The sequence below is a fragment of the Homo sapiens genome, chromosome 12, assembly GCF_000001405.40.
Source record: "Homo sapiens chromosome 12, GRCh38.p14 Primary Assembly".
Lineage (NCBI taxonomy): Eukaryota > Metazoa > Chordata > Mammalia > Primates > Hominidae > Homo > Homo sapiens.
In genome coordinates this window covers 68,807,156-68,825,053 of record NC_000012.12, presented here as the reverse complement: position 1 = coordinate 68,825,053, position 17,898 = coordinate 68,807,156, and the positions used below count along the sequence as shown (strand labels likewise).

The following is a 17,898-nucleotide window of genomic DNA, read 5'->3' as shown; positions in this document are numbered from 1 at the left end:
ATTTTTTTTAGTAGAGATGGGGTTTCACCACGTTGGTCAGGCTGGTCTCGAACTCCTGACCTCGTGATCCGCCAGCCTCGGCCTCCCAAAGTGCCGGGATTACAGGCGTGAGCCAGGCGTGAGCCACCACACCCCAGCCACCTCCTACTATCTTAACAGAGAGTTGGCTAACTATAAACTCCAGTGGGGCACAGTAAACTGTGCCTGCTGTAGTCAGCCAGAAAAATATTGCTAAATAAGCAATTTGTAAATCAAATAAAATCACGAATGAAAAAAACTCAGAGGTTAATTCATCTCAACCAAAAAAAGGGAACAATTTAATTAAGTCTAAAAGCACTAATTTCATTAGAGAAAGAATATCAAAAAGCTGTGTGAATGCGTCAAATAAATATTCATATATACCTGTCTCACTAATTGCTCTCCTTCTAGATGAGGTAGATGGTCTAGAAACCAAATGTGAAGATGAAGGTTTCTCTTCCTGAAGCTCTTGTACAAGGTCCTAAGCATTTAGGAAAAAAATAAAATACAACAAACTTAACATAACCAGTAAGCTAACTTGTTGTAAATAACCTTTCCAATTTGCAAATAATATTACATTAGAATGAGAAATTTACTTAGATTACCTTTTGATCACTCCCACCTTCAAGGTGACACCTGTTCTCACTCACAGATGTACCTGAGTCCGATGATTCTGAGAGAAAAGAAAAAGGATCAGAAACTTGGTGGTGGGCGGGGGGCGGCGGGGCGCTACTCAGTAGATATGCTATCAGTCTAACACAAACCCTTATGCAATTTAACCTTTCAATAAACATTAAACATGTATTTTCCAGGTGGCATCCTCATACTAAATGTTGCAGATGTAAATAAAATAATTCAACTTTAATGTAGAAGAGTAAAGTATAATCAAGACATTAAAAGACTGTTAGATAAATTAGCAGAGAGACAGGAGAGTCATTATTTTGGTAGGGACAGGGAGTGTCTGAGAAACAAAGAATCAGGAAATATTTTGTAGGACAATATGAAAATAGGGCTAGGAAAGGCCATTCCAGACCAAGAAAACGCCATGTGAAAAAGTATCCAAAAGCAAACTAACAACAGTTCCTGTTGCAGGACACCACAAGCAGTTCATTATTACTGGAATGTAGGCAGGTTCAGACTGTAAAGGATCCTGTGGTCTAGCCAAAGCAGGACTCATGCTGTCATTCCCTTATCACTGCATTCTTCCCCGCAGATACTTCAGAATCTTCCTTAATGCGATGTTGCAGCCACTCACCATTAAAAAGGATTTTTGTCCAAGAAATGAAACTGATTTCTAGCTCACAGAAAATATTACATCCAGAGAGCAATAATGAACCCCTAAATGGTAATTTTAAGCAGAAGAGTGACAAATCACTCTAGCAAAACATAAGAAAAAGAGGGCAGAGGCAGGAAAACCAGTATTAGACAATTGCAATAATACAAACTAAAAACTATTAAAGCCTAAACTAAGGCATGGAAAACAAATTCCAGAGAAATTAAATAGGTAAAAACCAACAAGACCTGGTATTTGATATAGAAGGCAAGGAAGAAAGGAGTTAAGATGATTCCAAGATTCCAACTTGGGTGAATAAATGAGTGGTACCATTCACTAAAAGAGAAACTTTAGAAAGATAAACAGATTGGATGGGAAGATAACAAACTGAGTTATTCAGGCACATAGGTTTCATTTGTAGTTGGATATACAGACTTTGAGCTCAAAAGTCAAAGTTTCAGAGTTGGGATATACAGACAATTATCATCAAATACCCTTTACTACCCCCCTTGGAAACATTTTCATCTTAACAGTGAACTCATGCCTGGACATTAACATTTTGAAATTATGCATTATCATAGATTAATTTTCTCTTTATACTATGGGTAAGGCATTACACTAATTTTCTTAAGTTGTACATAATAGGTTATATTGTCCAGGAATTTTGGATTAGTATAAACAGATGCTACAAAAAAGATGTAATAAAAAGGAAGCCCTAGGCTGGGTGGGTGCAGTGGCTCACACTTGTAATCCCAGCACTTTGGGAGGCCAAGGTGGGAGGATCACCTGAGGTCAGGAGTTTGAGACCAGCCTGGTCAACATGGTGAAACCCTTTCTCTACTAAAAATACAAAAATTAACCGGACGTGGTGGCAGGCACCTGTAATCCCACCTACTCGGGAGGCTGAGGAAGGAGAATCACTTAAACCCGGGAAGCAGAGGTTGCAGTGATCCGAGATCGCACCACTGCACTCCAGCCTGGGTGACAGAGTGAGACTCCATCTCAAAAAAAAAAAAGTGACAAAGTTGAGAACATGGAATAGGAGTTCTGAAGTTAATTCTACTGATATCTAAACCAAACTCAGACTGCAAATAAGTAATTTGTAAGTTTCCATCTCAATAATACAATTTTTCTAGTAATGTGCCAAAGTTTATTTAAACAAATGAAGGAATGAATACATCAGGGTTACATACTTCAGAAAACTCAAACTACTACTACAAATACTACAATTGTATATTTAGCTATCACACAATTTCTTAAAGAGCTTTAAAACAACAGGTATACATATGTAACCAACCTGCACATTGTACACATGTACCCTAAAACTTAAAGTATAATAATTAAAAAAAAAGGAAATAAAAAGGATACAATCTAAAGCTCAAAAAAAAAAAGAGCTTTAAAACAATAAAATGCCAAATCATCAGCCTAATAACTACTTTTATTTTGGGATAAAATGGAGATACTTTTCTGGGCTTTAAATCCTAACTTTGGAAGAATAAGTATTCAATTCAACACATTTATTAAATACCATATTAATAAAACACTATAGTGTGTGATGCACAATGCAAACCTGAATAGGACACAGGTAACAAAAATATAAACAAGTGCAACAGCCAGACGCAGTGGCTCATGCCTGTAACCCCTAAACTTTGGGAGGCCGAGGTGAGAATATCTCTTGAGCTCAGGTCAAGACTAGCCTGGGCAACATAGCAACACCGTCTCTACCAAACATACAGAAAAATTAGCCAGGCGTGGTGGAGCACATCTGTAGTCCCAGCAACTTGGGAGGCTGAGGGGGAGGATCATTTGAGCCCTGGAGGTGGAGGATGCAGTGAGCCAAGATTACCACTGCACTTCAAGCAGGGTGACAGAGTGAGAGCCCATCTCAAAAACAAACAAAAAAACCCACAAGTAAAACAAAGCAATTTTACAATAAAATCTGAATATGGAATAGAGGAAGTACAAGGGAGTGGTCAATTCATTCTAGGAACTAAACAAGCTCCTGAGAGGTGTTTTTTTGTTTTGTTTTGTTTTTGTCTTTTTTAAGAGATGAGGTCTTGCTCTGTCACCTGGACTGGATGGCATGATCACAGTTCACTACAGTCCTGACCTCCCAGCCTCAAAAAATCCTCCTGCCTCAGCCTCCTGAGTAGCTAGGACTACAGGCATGCACCACTATACCAAGCTGATTTTTGTAGTTTTTGCAGAGTTAGGATTTTGCCATGCTGCCCAGGCTGGTCTTGAACTCCTCGGCTCAAGTGATCCTCCTGCCTTAGCCTCCTAAAGTGCTGGAATTATAGGCATGAGCCATCACACCTGGCCTAAGAGCATTTCTTAACTGTAGTTCGAGGATGGGCTTTAGGAGCAGTGTAGTGTATTAGAGACAGCTCTAAGCAGCACTCAAAAGCAAACTGTGAGACCGGGTGCAGTGGCTCATACCTGTAATCCCAGGACTTTGGAAGGCCGAGGCAGGCAGATCACAAGGTCAGGAGTTCGAGACCAGCCTGGCCAACATGCTGAAACCCCCTCTCTACTAAAAATACAAAAATTAGCCGGGCGTGGTGGCATACGCCTGTAGTCCCATCTACTCGGGAGGCTGAGGCAGAAGAATTGCTTGAACCTGGGAGGCGGAGGTTGCAGTGAGTCGAAATCATGCCACTACACTCCAGCCTGAGTGACAGAGCAAGATTCCTTCTCAAAAAAAAAAAAAAAAAAAAAGCAAACTGTGTACATCTCTTCCCAACTCCATGTTTTTAGCCTTCAAATGAGAGTATTATACTATGGAAGTCAGCAAGCACATAAATCAGGGCTTTTCTCATGGAAAGTAGGTTGTAAAACACTTATTGACTTACCCATGTATATATACATGTGCATCTTTCTGGAACAAGAACCCAATGCTTTTATCAGCTTATTAAAGAGAGATGTGACCCAAAAATAACCAGTTAAGAAACGGAAGTAGGAACATAAAATTCCACTTCCACAAATTGGTAAACAAAATTTTGTCTATAACCAAAGAAAAAGACTCATCCTTCATCCTTACACATGGTCCTACCTAGGTAACAATATTATTTCCCAAAGCCTTTCAATACATTTTCAAGGTAGATCACTCCTAAACAGGAGCTTTTGAAATTACAGACCTTTCAAAATAAATCCTAACTCTGATATCCCAAGTCTAAATTGATCTAACAGGATATTTAACTTTACATTAGAACCTCAGTATGTGGTTTTAGTTCATATGTACTTCTAATAAATTTATCATACTTTTATTACAATATTTAATTAAAGCAACTTTTAAAGAGAATCACAATTATAAAACATATGCACATAAACAAAAATGTCTTTAAAACGTTTTTATGGTATTTATCCATGATGCTCAAAATTAACTTACCCTGCTGATTGACTACTACCAAGTTCCTGTAGATCATGGTATATATTTTCCTTGTAGACAGAAAAAAAAAAAATAACAAGAGATGTACATTTTAGAATAAAAATTTGTATTAAGCTGGATCTAACCAGACTTCTACATACATACTTAGTATGAACTACTGCACACATTCAAAACCAAATTTATCATTGGCAAGCTTGTAGGCACTTAAAAGCACAATAATTAGTAGCACAATGATTATGTACAGCTACTTTTAATAATTACTAAAGTCTCTCTAGCTGAAAGATTTCACACTACCAATTCCTGAAATGTGCTTTGTTTGGACTTTACCAGAAGACCCCCAAAAAATGAGTATGCAAGCAGGAAGAGGTTGAACATACTTATTTTCAAACAGGAATGTTTTTAGCTCTGTGCTTAGTAGCAAACTGCCAAAAAAAAGCATTGAGTTATGCAAAATCCATTAAATACAAACTGCCAAAAAAACTATTGAGTTACGCAAAATCCATTAAATAGGAATTTGATTATAATCTTGACTTTCATCAAGCTTCAACTTCCTTTCTTGATCTTAAAACGTATTAACAGAGGCCGGGCGCAGTGGCTCACAGACACCTGTAATCCCAGCACTTCGGAAGGCCGAGTCCGGCAGATCACCCGAGGCCTGGAGCTCAAGACCAGCCTGACCAACATGGAGAAACCCCATCTCTACTAAAAATATAAAATTAGCTGGGCATGGTGGCGCATGCCTGTAATCCCAGCTACTCAGGAGACTGAGGCGGGATAATCACTTAAACCCGGGAGGCAGAGGTTGCGGTGAGCCAAGATCACGCCATTGCACTCCAGCCTGGGCAACAAGAGCAAAACTCCGACTCAGGGAAGAAAAAAAAGAAACTTATTAACAGATAAAGCAGTACTCATTCATTCAATAAATACAGACTGAAAACCTACCACGTACCAGTCACTGGTACTATGTACCAGACACGGGGGAAAACAAAGAATGAAACAGAAATGTATATGCCCTCATGAAGTTTATATCCTAACAGGAGGATAATTCATTTACCCCAGTATTCGTTGATGTCACAATGGATTTTTCCTTTTGTTTTTAAACTAAGGATTTAAGAGAGTGTTTGTCACAAAATATTGTTTCTCACTCAATATTAAGAGGAAATATGAATCCCAACTATCTTTTTTCATCCTTGGGAATAAGGATACAGCAACCTAAACCCACAATATTTTTAATTCATATCCTTTTCAAGTCAGTAATTTCTCCTATTTCTTATCTCTCAACATTTAGAATTCAAGTCCAAGGAAATCATACTTCCAAACATTATCCGAAGATTCAATATTCAGACCAGGCACAGTGGCTCACGTCTGTAATCCCAGCACTTTGGGAGGCCAAGACAGGCAGATCACTTGAAGTCAGGAGTTCGAGACCAGCCTGGCCAACATGGCAAAACCCCATCTCTACTAAAAATACAAAAAATTAGCTGCTCATAGTAGTGTGCACCTGTAATCCCAGCTACTCAGGAGGCTGAGGCAAGAGAATCGCTTGAACCCAGGAGGCAGAGGTTGCAGCCTGGGCAACAGAGCAAGACTTCATCTCAAAAAAAAAAGAAAAAAAATAGAAGATTCAATATTCAATAGGTAAAGAAATCACCAATATACCAATATAGTTATTTTTAAAATTTATAAAATTAAACCATATATACCAAGGCCACGTATAAAATGACAACATATATGGATATTAAACAGAAGTGACTCATCAATAAAAAATAATAATTATACATATATTTGTAATATATATAATTATATTATATGTATATTATAATATATAATATACAAATTATAATACAAATTAAGAAGCTAGATGAAATTTAAATATAGTACTATATTCATAACTAGGTTAAAACACACAGTTGCACATAATACACAAATGACTGGTAAAAATACCTTTTGTTAACAAACTACAGTCCTTTTTTTTCCTTTACTTTTCTTAGTTTTCTGTCATCTCCTAATGTTCAATAATAATATATACTATGTTTACAATAATAAGGTTGTTTTAAAGTTATAAAATCCCTTGCTCAGCTGAGGAAGTTATGTTTTTTAATAAAATAAAATCCCATTTAATTATCATCTTTTCAGCTATACTATTGAGCATTAAATACTAGCAGAAGCTAGTTAATTGTCTCAGGTGAACGTATTCATTCCATTTATTAATGTAATGAATGCTAAGGCTCAACACGGATTGCCTGTGCTAAACCAAATGTGACAAAGAATTCCAAATGTAGGCCGGGTGTGGTTGCTCACATCTGTAATCCCAGCACTTTGGGAGGCCATGGCAGGTGGATTACCGAAGGTTAGGAGCTCAAGACCAGCCTGGTCAACATCGTGAAACCCTGTCTCTACTAAAAATACAAAAATTAGGCATGGCAGCAGGCACCTGTAATCCCAGCTACTCGGGAAGCCGAGGCAGGAGAATCACTTGAACCCAGGAGACGGAGGTTGCAGTGAGCCAAGATCATGCCACTGCACTCCAGCCTGGGCCATAGAGCAAGACTCCCTCTCAAAACAAACAAACAAAAAAAAGAATAATTTTAGAAAAATATATATTAAAAAAATTTTTTTTTCAGATGCAGTTTTGCTCGTTGCCCAGGCTGGAGTGCAGTGGCGCAATCTCGGCTCACCTCAACCACAACCTCCACCTGCCTGGTTCAAGTGATTCTACTGCCTCAGCCTCCCGAGTAGCTGGAATTACAGGCATGCACCACCACACCCAGCTAATTTTGTATTTTTAGTAGAGACAGGGTTTCTCCATGTTGGTCAGGCTGGTCTCCAACTCCCAACCTCAGGTGATCCACCCGCCTTGGCCTCTCAAAGTGCTGGGATTACAGGTGTGAGCCACCGCACCAGGCCTATTTCTAGAAATATTACCTGGGTTAAATTCTGCTGGTTAAGTGCCATAATGATAGGTGACAATGAAAATGATCTCCAAAATAACTAAGGCTCAAATGTAAGCCTTTACCACGTGGTGGTATACTGTTTCTGGAATAAAAAGTTATAATAGCTACAGCTAATACTTGAATGCTTTGTATGTGCCCAAAACTATGCTTTTTTATACAACGTCTCTCTTCAAGAGCTTTAACCTCCACATGAAGTATTTAATTATCCCTATTTTATAAATGGGGAAGCAGGTTTAAAAAGGTTAATTTATCTAGTCACAAAACTAGTAAATGATTGGGCTAGGTTTCAAACACTGGTTTATAAGATGCCAGAGCTCAGGTTCTCAAATAATATGCCGCAGAGCTAAAAAATTAAGTTTCAGCATGTCTTTAATATGTTTCAACAGTTTTTCTCTGACAAAAGTGAATGAGGGTAGAGGTGAACTGAAATGTTAGCCCAGATGGCTTTTTACAATGGACTAAACTGAAGAATTACCTGTGCTCTTTCACAGAGAAGCTTGGCACGCCAAACAAATCTCCTAGAAGATCATTTGAACAATATACAATATGTTGTTGCTTCTCATCATATAATCGTTTAGTCATAATATACTGGCCAAGATAAAAAAGAACCTGAAATACAAATATGATTTCTGAGCATTAAAGAAAACTAAATGTTAGTTGTAAATACATTTAATAATATCCTATTTATCTGAATAGGGGTAAACAACCAGGAACCATATCCACAACTATGTAGAACAACCATTTTGTACTTAGAAGCTACTTTTGGCTGGGCGCAGTGGCTCACACCTGTAATCCCAGTACTTCGGGAGGCCGAAGCGGATGGATCACGAGGTCAGGAGATAAAGACCATCCTGGTCCCATCTCTACTAAAAATACAAAAGTTAGCCAGGCATGGTGGCAGACACCTGTAATCCCAGCTATTAGGGAGGCTGAGGCAGGAGAATTGCTTGAACCCAGGAGGTGGAGGCTGCAGTGAGCCGAGATTGCGCCACTGCACTCCGGCTTAAGCAACAGAGTGAGACTTCATCTCAAAAAAAAAAAAAAAAAAAAAAAAAAAAGCTACTTTTAAGCCTTTTCCATTTAATTTGACAGAAGCAGAAATAACTGCTTCTCTATTTACTTAAGCAAACCTTAAAATGTGAGGTTTTTTTCCTTGTAGACTTTAACTCTGCCCAGATACTTAGATACTAACATATTAGGAAGGGAAAAGGCAGCAAAATAAAAAACTGATAGCCAAAAAAGTTGCAGAAACAAAAATCAACTAAAATATGGCAGTGGTCTGGAGCCACTTAGTAAATAGTCATAAATACTATAAACCTCAATAGCCTCTGAGGTCACCAGAGGAGGAAGACAGAAAAACAATCAATCAATGACAGCTACAAAACAGTTTGAGAGAATTCTGAGAATGAAATAAACCCTCTAAGGTATCAATTTACTCCATATTATGATAAATAATCAAAATAATGACTTTGAACCATTAATAAAAGTTAAATTATATTCCCTGTGCTGCATTAAGACAAGAAGTTGGCAATACATTTTTAAGATATCCAGATATAAACCTATTAACAACTACCTAAATACATATGGCATTTTACAGTTTACAATGTACTTTTATAAGTATTATCTCATTCTGATATTTCATAAGATTATTATCACTGTATTAGAAATGAAGAAATTGCGTTGGGCACAGTGGCTCACACCTGTAAATCTAGCACTTTAGGAGGCCGAGGTAAGCAGATCCCTTGAGCCCAGGAGTTCCAGACCAGCCTGGGCAACATAGTGAAACTCCATCTCTACAAAAAAATACAAAAATTAGCCAGGCATAGTGGTACAAGCCTGTAGTCCTAGCTACTGCAGACACTGAGGTGGGAGGATCACCTGAGCCCACGAGGTCCAGGCTGCAGCGAGCAGTGATCATGCCACTGCACTCCAGCCTGGGCAAGAGAGTGAGAAACTGTCACATAAAAAAAAAAAAAAAAAAAAAAAAGAAGAAGAAACTGGCCCCAGCTCTTCTGACTCTTAATCCAACGCTCTTTTTACTACCCATACTAGCTTTCACTACCTTCCTGTGTGCCCCAGAACAAAGATCCTATAACTGAGAACTATATCAGACAATACATACACTACTGTTACATAGTTTAGCATAAGCATTCTAAGTCTTTATGATGGCCTTGGCCAATTTTCTCATTTCTATCTACTGCTAAATCCATACTTTTTTGTTTCCTTAACTGATTATCCAATGATAATAAGGTCAATCCCAAATTAGCCTTAAAAATACCATTTAACCTGGCCCTTTCCTACAAACACTGTCTTTGGATTTAACTGGCTAAGCAGGCATCGGCCTTAAAGGAATATTCTTATGTGACTGTGGATTGGACAGATTGCTGTCCAGCAGTGGGAAAGGAAAAAGGAAGAGAACTTAGATTTATTCTACCAAACATCCTTTAAGGAAGTTTCTAAAAGTATAGCTGGAGAGGAAAAAGAAAAATGGAAGCTCTTCCTGCCCCACTATACCGTTGTAAGAAAGAAACTTAAATGTTTTAAGTAATCTGAGTCCCATAAACTAAGTGGGAGAGACAGAGAACAGGCATATTTCAATCACACTGAAATTCTGCCTAAGGTTGCTCAATCTGTCACTGAAAATCATGCTTCTGTGCACAAATTTAAAGGTGGGGAATGCATTAAAATGCTGGAACCATTAGATAGAATATATGGTCATGAATCAGCTCACCTCTATCCCAGAAAGATCAGTATACTGTACTCATGTATCTCTAGTGCAGAAGTTCTTAACCTGGGATCCAGGGATGCCCAAGAAGTCCTTGGATAGAATTCAGGGGGTCCATTAATTTGGATGGGAAAAAAAAAATTCTATTCTTATTTTCACAAACTTCTAACTAGAATTTAGCTTTTCCTTCGATTATAAATGTAGGCAACAAATCACAACAGTATTAATACCTGTGATTTCATCACCAACAAAAATCAGAGGTGTTTTCCTATCATACTGTACTTATGGCAAACATTTCAAAATATGACTTATATTCCTCACTATATCAAGATAATATTTATTGGCCAGGCATGGTGGCTCATGCCTATAATCCCAGCATTTTGGGAGGCCAAGGCAAGTGGATCACCTGAGACTAGGAGTTCAAGACCAGCCTGGCCAACATGGAGAAACCCCATCTCTACTAAAAAGACAAAAAATTAGCCAGGCGTGGTGGCAGGTGCCTATAATCCCAGCTACTTGGAAGGGTAAGGCAGAAGAAGGGCTTGAATCTAGGAGGCGGAGGTTGCAGTGAGCTGAGATCGTGCCACTGCACTCCAGCTTGGGTGACAGAGCGAGACTTCGTCTCAAAAAACAAAAAAACATTATATTTATTATATCTTCTTCTAAATCTTAGTATTTATTATGTTAATAACAAAAGCACACATATCACAAACTAGTTTACTATTTTGGTAACCGTATTTTAGTATGTTTCCTTTGTAATTCTATACATTTTATTTCATACATTTAAAAACATGATTCTGGGAAGGAGTCTACCAAAGGGTTGACAGCATAAAATGGTCAAGCACCCTTACGGGGCTTCCATTTATCTGAGTTCCTAGCTGAGAAATGAAACTCGAGTATAATTAGAATTTTCAGCTTTAAAATATAGTCCAAACGACCACAAAATTAAATGTTGCTGCTTAATGAAAAATCCTTCTATATGGCCAATTTCTCCACATGGTCTTGAAAACTTTAAGTATGGCTACATGTAACTAGTGAGATACTACTTATCTCTTGATTCAGCTTACCTCTTTCATAGTATAAGTGTCTTTTTGTGCACCAACAGACTTTAATAACTTCAAAAGCAATGGCTTTGGTCTAACCTATAAAGAGAAAAGAACTGCTATTATACTTCCAAAATTATCCCAGAACTATAGGCCCTGCAGCAAACATATCCATCAAGTTCAATAAAGGGGATTTGGAAAAAATGCTGGGGAGGATCTAATCATTATGCAAGTATCATGGAATCATCAAGTATCAGTTGTGATCACAGACAGTATCCAATCCAAAAGAGCAAAGATTACTTTTTCCTTCAGCTATTTATATTACCTGCTTACTGCCTTACAAACAACCATAAATTACTGAGATCCAATGAGCTTACCGTACTGATCCAACGAGCTTATTGCAAGCTAACTTAGAGAATCAAAGAGAAATGAATAAATCTTTAGAGTGGGTCCTGTTATCAATCTTCTCTTTCTAAAGATTAGGTTCCTGAAGGCTAGAGAACCTAACTAACTAACCCAAGCTGACAAGGGTAATTAAGAACAGATCAGAGATAACAACCCAGGTCCCTCAACTACAACTCAGCATTTTCTTCCTACTATATCATGCTGCCTCTTAGTTAGTCTACATTTCAAATATCTACTTGACAAACATTTATTGAGCTTCTACTATGCACTGGACAGTGGTAGGTACTGCAAAAGAAATTACAAATAAGACATATGACCTGTATGCAAGGAGCCTGCCAACTAGATTAGGGGTCAATTTTTTTCTGTAAAGAGCCAGACTGTAAGTATTTTAAGCTTTTCATACAAATGGTTCTATCCAAGTAAAAAGCATGGCTACTATGTAAACCAACGGGCATGGTTGCATTCCAGTAAAATTTTCCTTACAGAAAGAAAGGCAGCTGGCTGGGAGAGGTGGCTCTTGCCTATAACCCCAGCACTTTGGGAGACAGTGCTAGAGGTTTGCTTGAGGCTAGGTGTTCAAGACCAGCCTGGGCCACACTGAGAGACTCCACCTCTACAAAAAAAATTTAAAAACTAAAACAAAAACAGGTAACAGGCCAAAGTTGGCTGACAGGCTAACATTTGCCTGCCCCTTATCTAGAGGTTTTACAAATGGTCTTGAGAAAAATAATTGTCATGGGGGAGGGGAATGTAATATACTATGCACTTTCTCCCTTCCTTTTGGTTTATCAAAATCTGCAAAACTCAAGTATCTTTACAGCTTGCCACTACCACACAAACTGGTACCTCTGCACCTCTCTTTAATATGCCCCGGTCCTCTGTCTAACTTTAAAATCTGACAGCACCCCCATTGGGGATGCCTTAAAAACAGATTTTTAAAAATTGCCTATTTCCAGCTAATCAATAAAACAAATATTATTTAACAATTGAAAAATTTAAAATACATATAGAATTGAATTATTAATTTTTCTGATCACTTTTTTTTTTTTTAACTGTGCTTACATATGCACTTTACTTTCAGGCTAAAGAATGGACTCTCTCAAAAAAGATTTAAAAATAACCTTTTTTCTCCTGAATTTTTATTATATGCTATATTAGCTTCAAATTAGATAAAATAATTCAAAGTAAAAATCTGTAATGGAAGCCAGGTGCAGTGGCTCAGGTCTGTAATCCCAGCACTTTGGGAGGCCGAGGCAGGCAGATCACCTGAGGTCAGGAGTGTGAGACCAGCCTGGCCAACACAGTGAAACTCCGTCTCTATTAAATATACAAAAATTACCCAGGTGTGGGCCAGGCGCAGTGGCTCATGCCTTTAATCCCAGCACTTTGGGAGGCCAAGACAGGCAGATCAGGAGGTCAGAAGTTCAAGACCAGCCTGGACAACATGGTGAAACCCTATCTCTACTAAAAGTACAAAAATTATCCGGGTGTGGAGGTGGGTGCCTGTAATCCCAGCTACTCGGGAGGCTGCGGCAGAATTGCTTGAACCCAGGAAGCAGAGGTTGCAGTGAGCCGAGATCATGCCACTGCACTCCAGCCTGGGCAACAGACCAAGACTCAGTCTCAAAAAAAAAAAAAAAAAAAAATCTGTAATGGAAAGCCATCAGTATATTAGTGACTTAAAAGACATGTATTAATGAGAAAACAGCTATAAAAGATAATAGCATTTGTAATCTTACATTGAAGAACAAGAAGGTAAATTACAGGTGAAGATCTAAATATTTAAAAAATTTAAATCTAGAAGAAAATATAGGAATATATTTGCAAGATCTTGGGACAGGAGAGTTCTTCCAAAGCATGATATGAAATTCAAAAGCCAACAAATTTTACTTCACAGAATTGTTCTCAATGGGGAAAAGACAACATAAAATTAAATGCTACATTAGTAAACAACAAAAGTTAAATATACTTGAAACACATAGAGCTACTCCAATTACTAAGAAAAATTTTAAAAAACTAAAAGGAAAATGGACAGATAAGACTAGGCAAGTCCCAGAAGAAATAAATGACTTAACAAAATGGAGGCCTGGTGCAGTGATTCACGCCTGTAATCCCAGCACTTTGGGAGGCCGAGGCAGGCAGATCACCTGAAGTTGGGAGTTCAAGACCAGCCTGACCAACATGGAAAAACCCCATCTCTACTAAAAATACAAAATTAGCTGAGCGTGGTGGCGCATGCCTGTAATCCCAGCTACTCCAGAGGCTGAGGCAAGAGAATCGCTTGAACCCGTGAGGCAGAGGTTGCAATGAGACAAGATCTCGCCATTGCACTCCAGCCTGGGCAACAGGAGTGAAACTCTGTCTCAAAAAAAACAAAAACAAAAACAAAAAGGAAAGGTGCCCAGCCTCACCAAGAAACTAGAGAAAAATGAATTTAAACAATGGTACAGTACCTTTTATCAAAAAAATAGTAATAATAATAAAAGAGGCCAGGCGCAGTGACTCACGCCTGTAATCCCAGCACTTTGGGAGGCCGAGGCGGGCGGATCACCAGGTCAGGGGATCAAGATCATCCTGGCTAACATGGTGAAACCCCGTCTCTACTAAAAATACAAAAAATTAGCCGGGCGTGGTGGTGGGCGCCTGTAGTCCCAGCTACTCGGGAGGCTGAGGCAGGGGAATGGCGTGAACCCGGGGAACGGAGATTGCAGTGAGCCGAGATTGTGCCACTGCACTCCAGCCTGGGAGACAGAGCAAGACTCCGCCTCAAAAAAAATAATAATAATAATAATTAAAGATTGGTGATATTCAGTATTGGCAGGAGTGAAACTGTTAGAGCCTTTTGGTGAGCAAGTTACCAGTAGCAATCAAATAGTAAAATTGAGAACTCAGGAGTTCTAATTCTCTAAAATCTTTTTCTTTTCTTTTTTTTTTTTTTAGACGGAGTTTCGCTCTTATCGCCCAGGCTGGAGTGAAATGGCGCAATCTTGGCTCACCGCAACCTCTGCCTCCTGGGTTCAAGCGATTCTCCTGCCCCAGCCTCCTCAGCAGGGGATTATAGGCGCGCGCCACCATGCCCGACTAATTTTTGTATTTTTAGTAGAGACAGGTTTTCACCATGTTGGCCAGGCTAGTCTTGAACTCCTCATCTCAGGTGATCGGTCCGCCTTGGCCTCCCAAAGTGATGGGATTACAGGGGTGAGCCACCGAGGCCAGCCTATAATTCTATAAAATCTTTCTTACAGAAATAGTCACACGGGATGCATGTACAAAGCGGCACTATCTGTAATACTCAAAAACAGGAGGCAATTTTTAAAAACCTATCAGTAAAGGCATAAATAATTTTTAAAATGGTATACTCATGCTGTGGAATACTATGCAGCCATTAAAAAGAATTCTGTAGACTTTATTTATTGACAAGGATGCAAGTCACAGAACAACTACAGTTTCATCTTGTTAGTACAACAAACAGGACAATAACATAGATTTAAATTCAAATGTAAATATATGTGGGTACGCACACAAAAAATCTAAAAGGAAACATGGAGCAAAAAGCCTGGAATTTTCAGGTTTTACTTTAAAATTTCTCTAATGACAAAAATCTTTAAAACAAGCACGAATAACTTTTTTGACTTTTAGAAACCATTTTTAAAAATTAAATACTGGGAGGTCAAAAAGGAAAAAAAAATCAGTCACGTAACAAACGTAACTTCAACCACGCTTAACAATGTAATGGAACTAATTTTTAAAGCAAATGTGGCAAATGGCTAAAAAAATACTGACCAGTTCTTAACAGTTTTTAACTCCACGCAGTTACGCCAGAGGTAGCACACTTTAAGCTATGCACATACAATTTTATTTACAGAGCCATGCTACAATTGAGGTATACGAAATTTAGTTTATCACTTCATAAAATAAATTATTCTTAAAAGTTACACGAGACAAAAATACTAACCAGGGTCTCTTGTTCCGAAGCTGGAATCTGTGAGGTGGTTACAGCACCATCAGTAGGTACAGACATGTTGGTATTGCACATTTGCCTACAAGGAAAAAAAAGACACGATGAAAACTGGAAATCATGAAACATCTGTGGAAAATACATCATATATAAAGAACATAAACAACAGTTAAAACTAAAGCTACAAGCAAGTCGGTGCTTACCTGGATCAGCAGAGAAAAAGTGGCGTGCGTCCGTGCCCACAGGTCTACCCTCCAATCGCCACTGAACACAGCTGGGAAAATGCATGGTTTAAATAGCCCCAGCTGGAGACAAGTCAGGACTTAACTCCTTTTACTGCAGTTTCGGAACGTGTCTGAACTTGACCAGCTCAAGAGGAAAAGCTGAGTCAACCTGCCCACTGAACCGGCCCAATCCCGCCCAGACTACGCGCAGCGTTCACACTAGTGACCCGACAGGCACCTGCGATCATCCGGACCTCCCGCGCCGAAGCGGCCCCGCAGCCCCCGGCCCCCGTGACCTTTACCCTGAACTCCCGCGGAGACCTCCGAACCACCCCCACCCCCACCGCCGCGAGAGCCGTCCGAAATCCCGCCCTCCTCCCTGGCGGCGACTGCCTAGCCCCAGTCCAACAAAACCTCCGCAAAGCCACGTGCCCCATGCCCCGCGCCCCGCGCCCCGAGCCCCCAGCCACGAACCGCACAAAGGCTGCGAACGGGCAGAGGCTGGGAACCAGCGATAGAGGGGACACCGTCAGAGCCCAGACCCAAAAGTGACCGCTCGCTGCCGGGCCAGTACCTGCTCCTCACCATCCGGGGTTTTCGCGCTTGGAGTCGGGGGTCCCTCAAGACTCCCCAGTTTCCTTCACGGGGCGCGCGGAAGCACGACGCCCTGGGCCTCGGGGATCATTCCACTCTCCGGGCCAGGGCACTGGGCGCTCGTACGCACTAATCCGGGGAGGGACGGTGCTCCTGGCTGCGAAAGCAGCAGGATCTCGGTCAGAGGGGTCGCGGCCGCCCCTCGGGCTCGGCTTCTTGCTCCATCTTTCCGACACACAGGGCCACACAGGCCCCAGAAGCAGCCAAGCTCGCCGCGGTGCCTCGGTGCGCGCCCCCTACCGCCCGAGGGGAGCGCGCGGGTCGTCGCGGCGCATCCGGGCATTTGTGCGCGCGCACACAACCGGCCCCGCTTCCGCCAATTGGGTCCGGGGCTCGGCCGCACCACCTCCGGGATGATGGAGTGGGGGGTGTCGCCCCGCGGGCGCGGCGGGCTGTGAGGCGGGGTGGGGGTGTTGGCCGCGAGCTGAGAGGGTGGGGCTCGGCCTGGCGCGGAGCCAGCAAGGTTTGGCGCTGTGACACTCCTTTAGCCGTTGCGCTATGTTTGTATTTCTTGTGTTTACACTTCCCGCCCGCGGTGGAAACTGCGACAAATGCGGATCTCCGTGTCGCTGTTACCAAAAAGAAACCAAAATTAACAGCTGTTTAATATATTAAGCCCACTCCACCAGCCGCTGGAGTTGTACCCAAATGAGTTATTTTAAGGCCTGTTTTTAAAAAAGATTAAAAATAGCACTTAAGGCAGGCTTATACACCGGTGCATACAGCTGTTCTGGTTGGAGAACGAAGATGCTGGTTACCGTTGGCGGGGAGGGGAGCGGTTACTCTGCGCTTTTAGAATGTTTGGGTTTGGCTGGGCGCGGTGGCTCACGCTTGTAATCCCATCACTTTGGGTAGGCCGAGGCGGGTGGATCACTTGAGGTCAGGAGTTCAAGACCAACCTGGCCAACATGGGAAACGCCGTCTCTACTAAAAACTACAAAAATTAGTCGGGCGTGGTGGCGGTCACCTGTAATCCCAGCTACTCTACTCCGGAGGCTGAGGCAGGACAATCCTGTGAACCCGGGAGGCAGAGGCTGCAGTGAGCCAAGATCATGCCATTGCACTCCAGCCTGGGCGACAGGGCAAGACTCTCAAAAAAACAAAAACAAAGTTTGGGTTTGTTAATCTACACATTCATTATCATTAAAATATATACTTATATATTATGCACTCATTCTGACTCACCTACTTTCCCACAGAGATGTGGCAAAAACGTTTTTGATGCGGTCTCATAAATTGAGGACATAAAGAATTGA

General features: G+C 40.6%; 1 protein-coding gene across 7 annotated transcripts in view, besides 3 other annotated features; it reads right to left on the bottom strand.

Annotated features, from left to right (window-relative positions):
• The window catches only part of MDM2 (MDM2 proto-oncogene), a 42,515-nt gene extending 25,633 nt beyond the window's left edge, over positions 1-16,882 (bottom strand). For 2 of the 7 annotated variants that reach the window (NM_001278462.2, NM_001145340.3), the window contains exons 1-3: positions 15,968-16,030; positions 15,762-15,846; positions 11,426-11,500 (exon numbers count right to left, since the gene is read on the bottom strand). In NM_001278462.2, the coding sequence (NP_001265391.1) occupies positions 11,426-11,500; positions 15,762-15,842 (156 nt within the window). In that variant the 5' untranslated portion in view covers positions 15,843-15,846; positions 15,968-16,030. Of the gene's footprint in view, positions 1-402; positions 500-623; positions 692-4,679; positions 4,730-8,108; positions 8,243-11,425; positions 11,501-15,761; positions 15,847-15,967; positions 16,038-16,562 lie in introns of those variants that run through there. The other 5 variants (NM_002392.6, NM_001367990.1, NM_001145337.3 and 2 more) reach the window with 5 other exon arrangements.
• Positions 15,389-16,588: an enhancer, noted in NCBI's record as "CDK7 strongly-dependent group 2 enhancer chr12:69202246-69203445 (GRCh37/hg19 assembly coordinates)". NCBI's record gives its function as "activates an origin of replication core promoter dependent on BRD2, BRD4, P300/CBP, MED14 and CDK7 cofactors, with strong dependence on CDK7, by STARR-seq in HCT116 cells {active_cell/tissue: HCT116}" and the evidence as "EXISTENCE:reporter gene assay evidence [ECO:0000049][PMID:35650434]".
• Positions 15,900-16,289: an enhancer, noted in NCBI's record as "active region_6646". NCBI's record gives its function as "activates an Ori minimal core promoter by ATAC-STARR-seq in GM12878 lymphoblastoid cells {active_cell/tissue: GM12878}" and the evidence as "EXISTENCE:reporter gene assay evidence [ECO:0000049][PMID:35858748]".
• Positions 16,790-17,179: a silencer, noted in NCBI's record as "silent region_4648". NCBI's record gives its function as "represses an Ori minimal core promoter by ATAC-STARR-seq in GM12878 lymphoblastoid cells {active_cell/tissue: GM12878}" and the evidence as "EXISTENCE:reporter gene assay evidence [ECO:0000049][PMID:35858748]".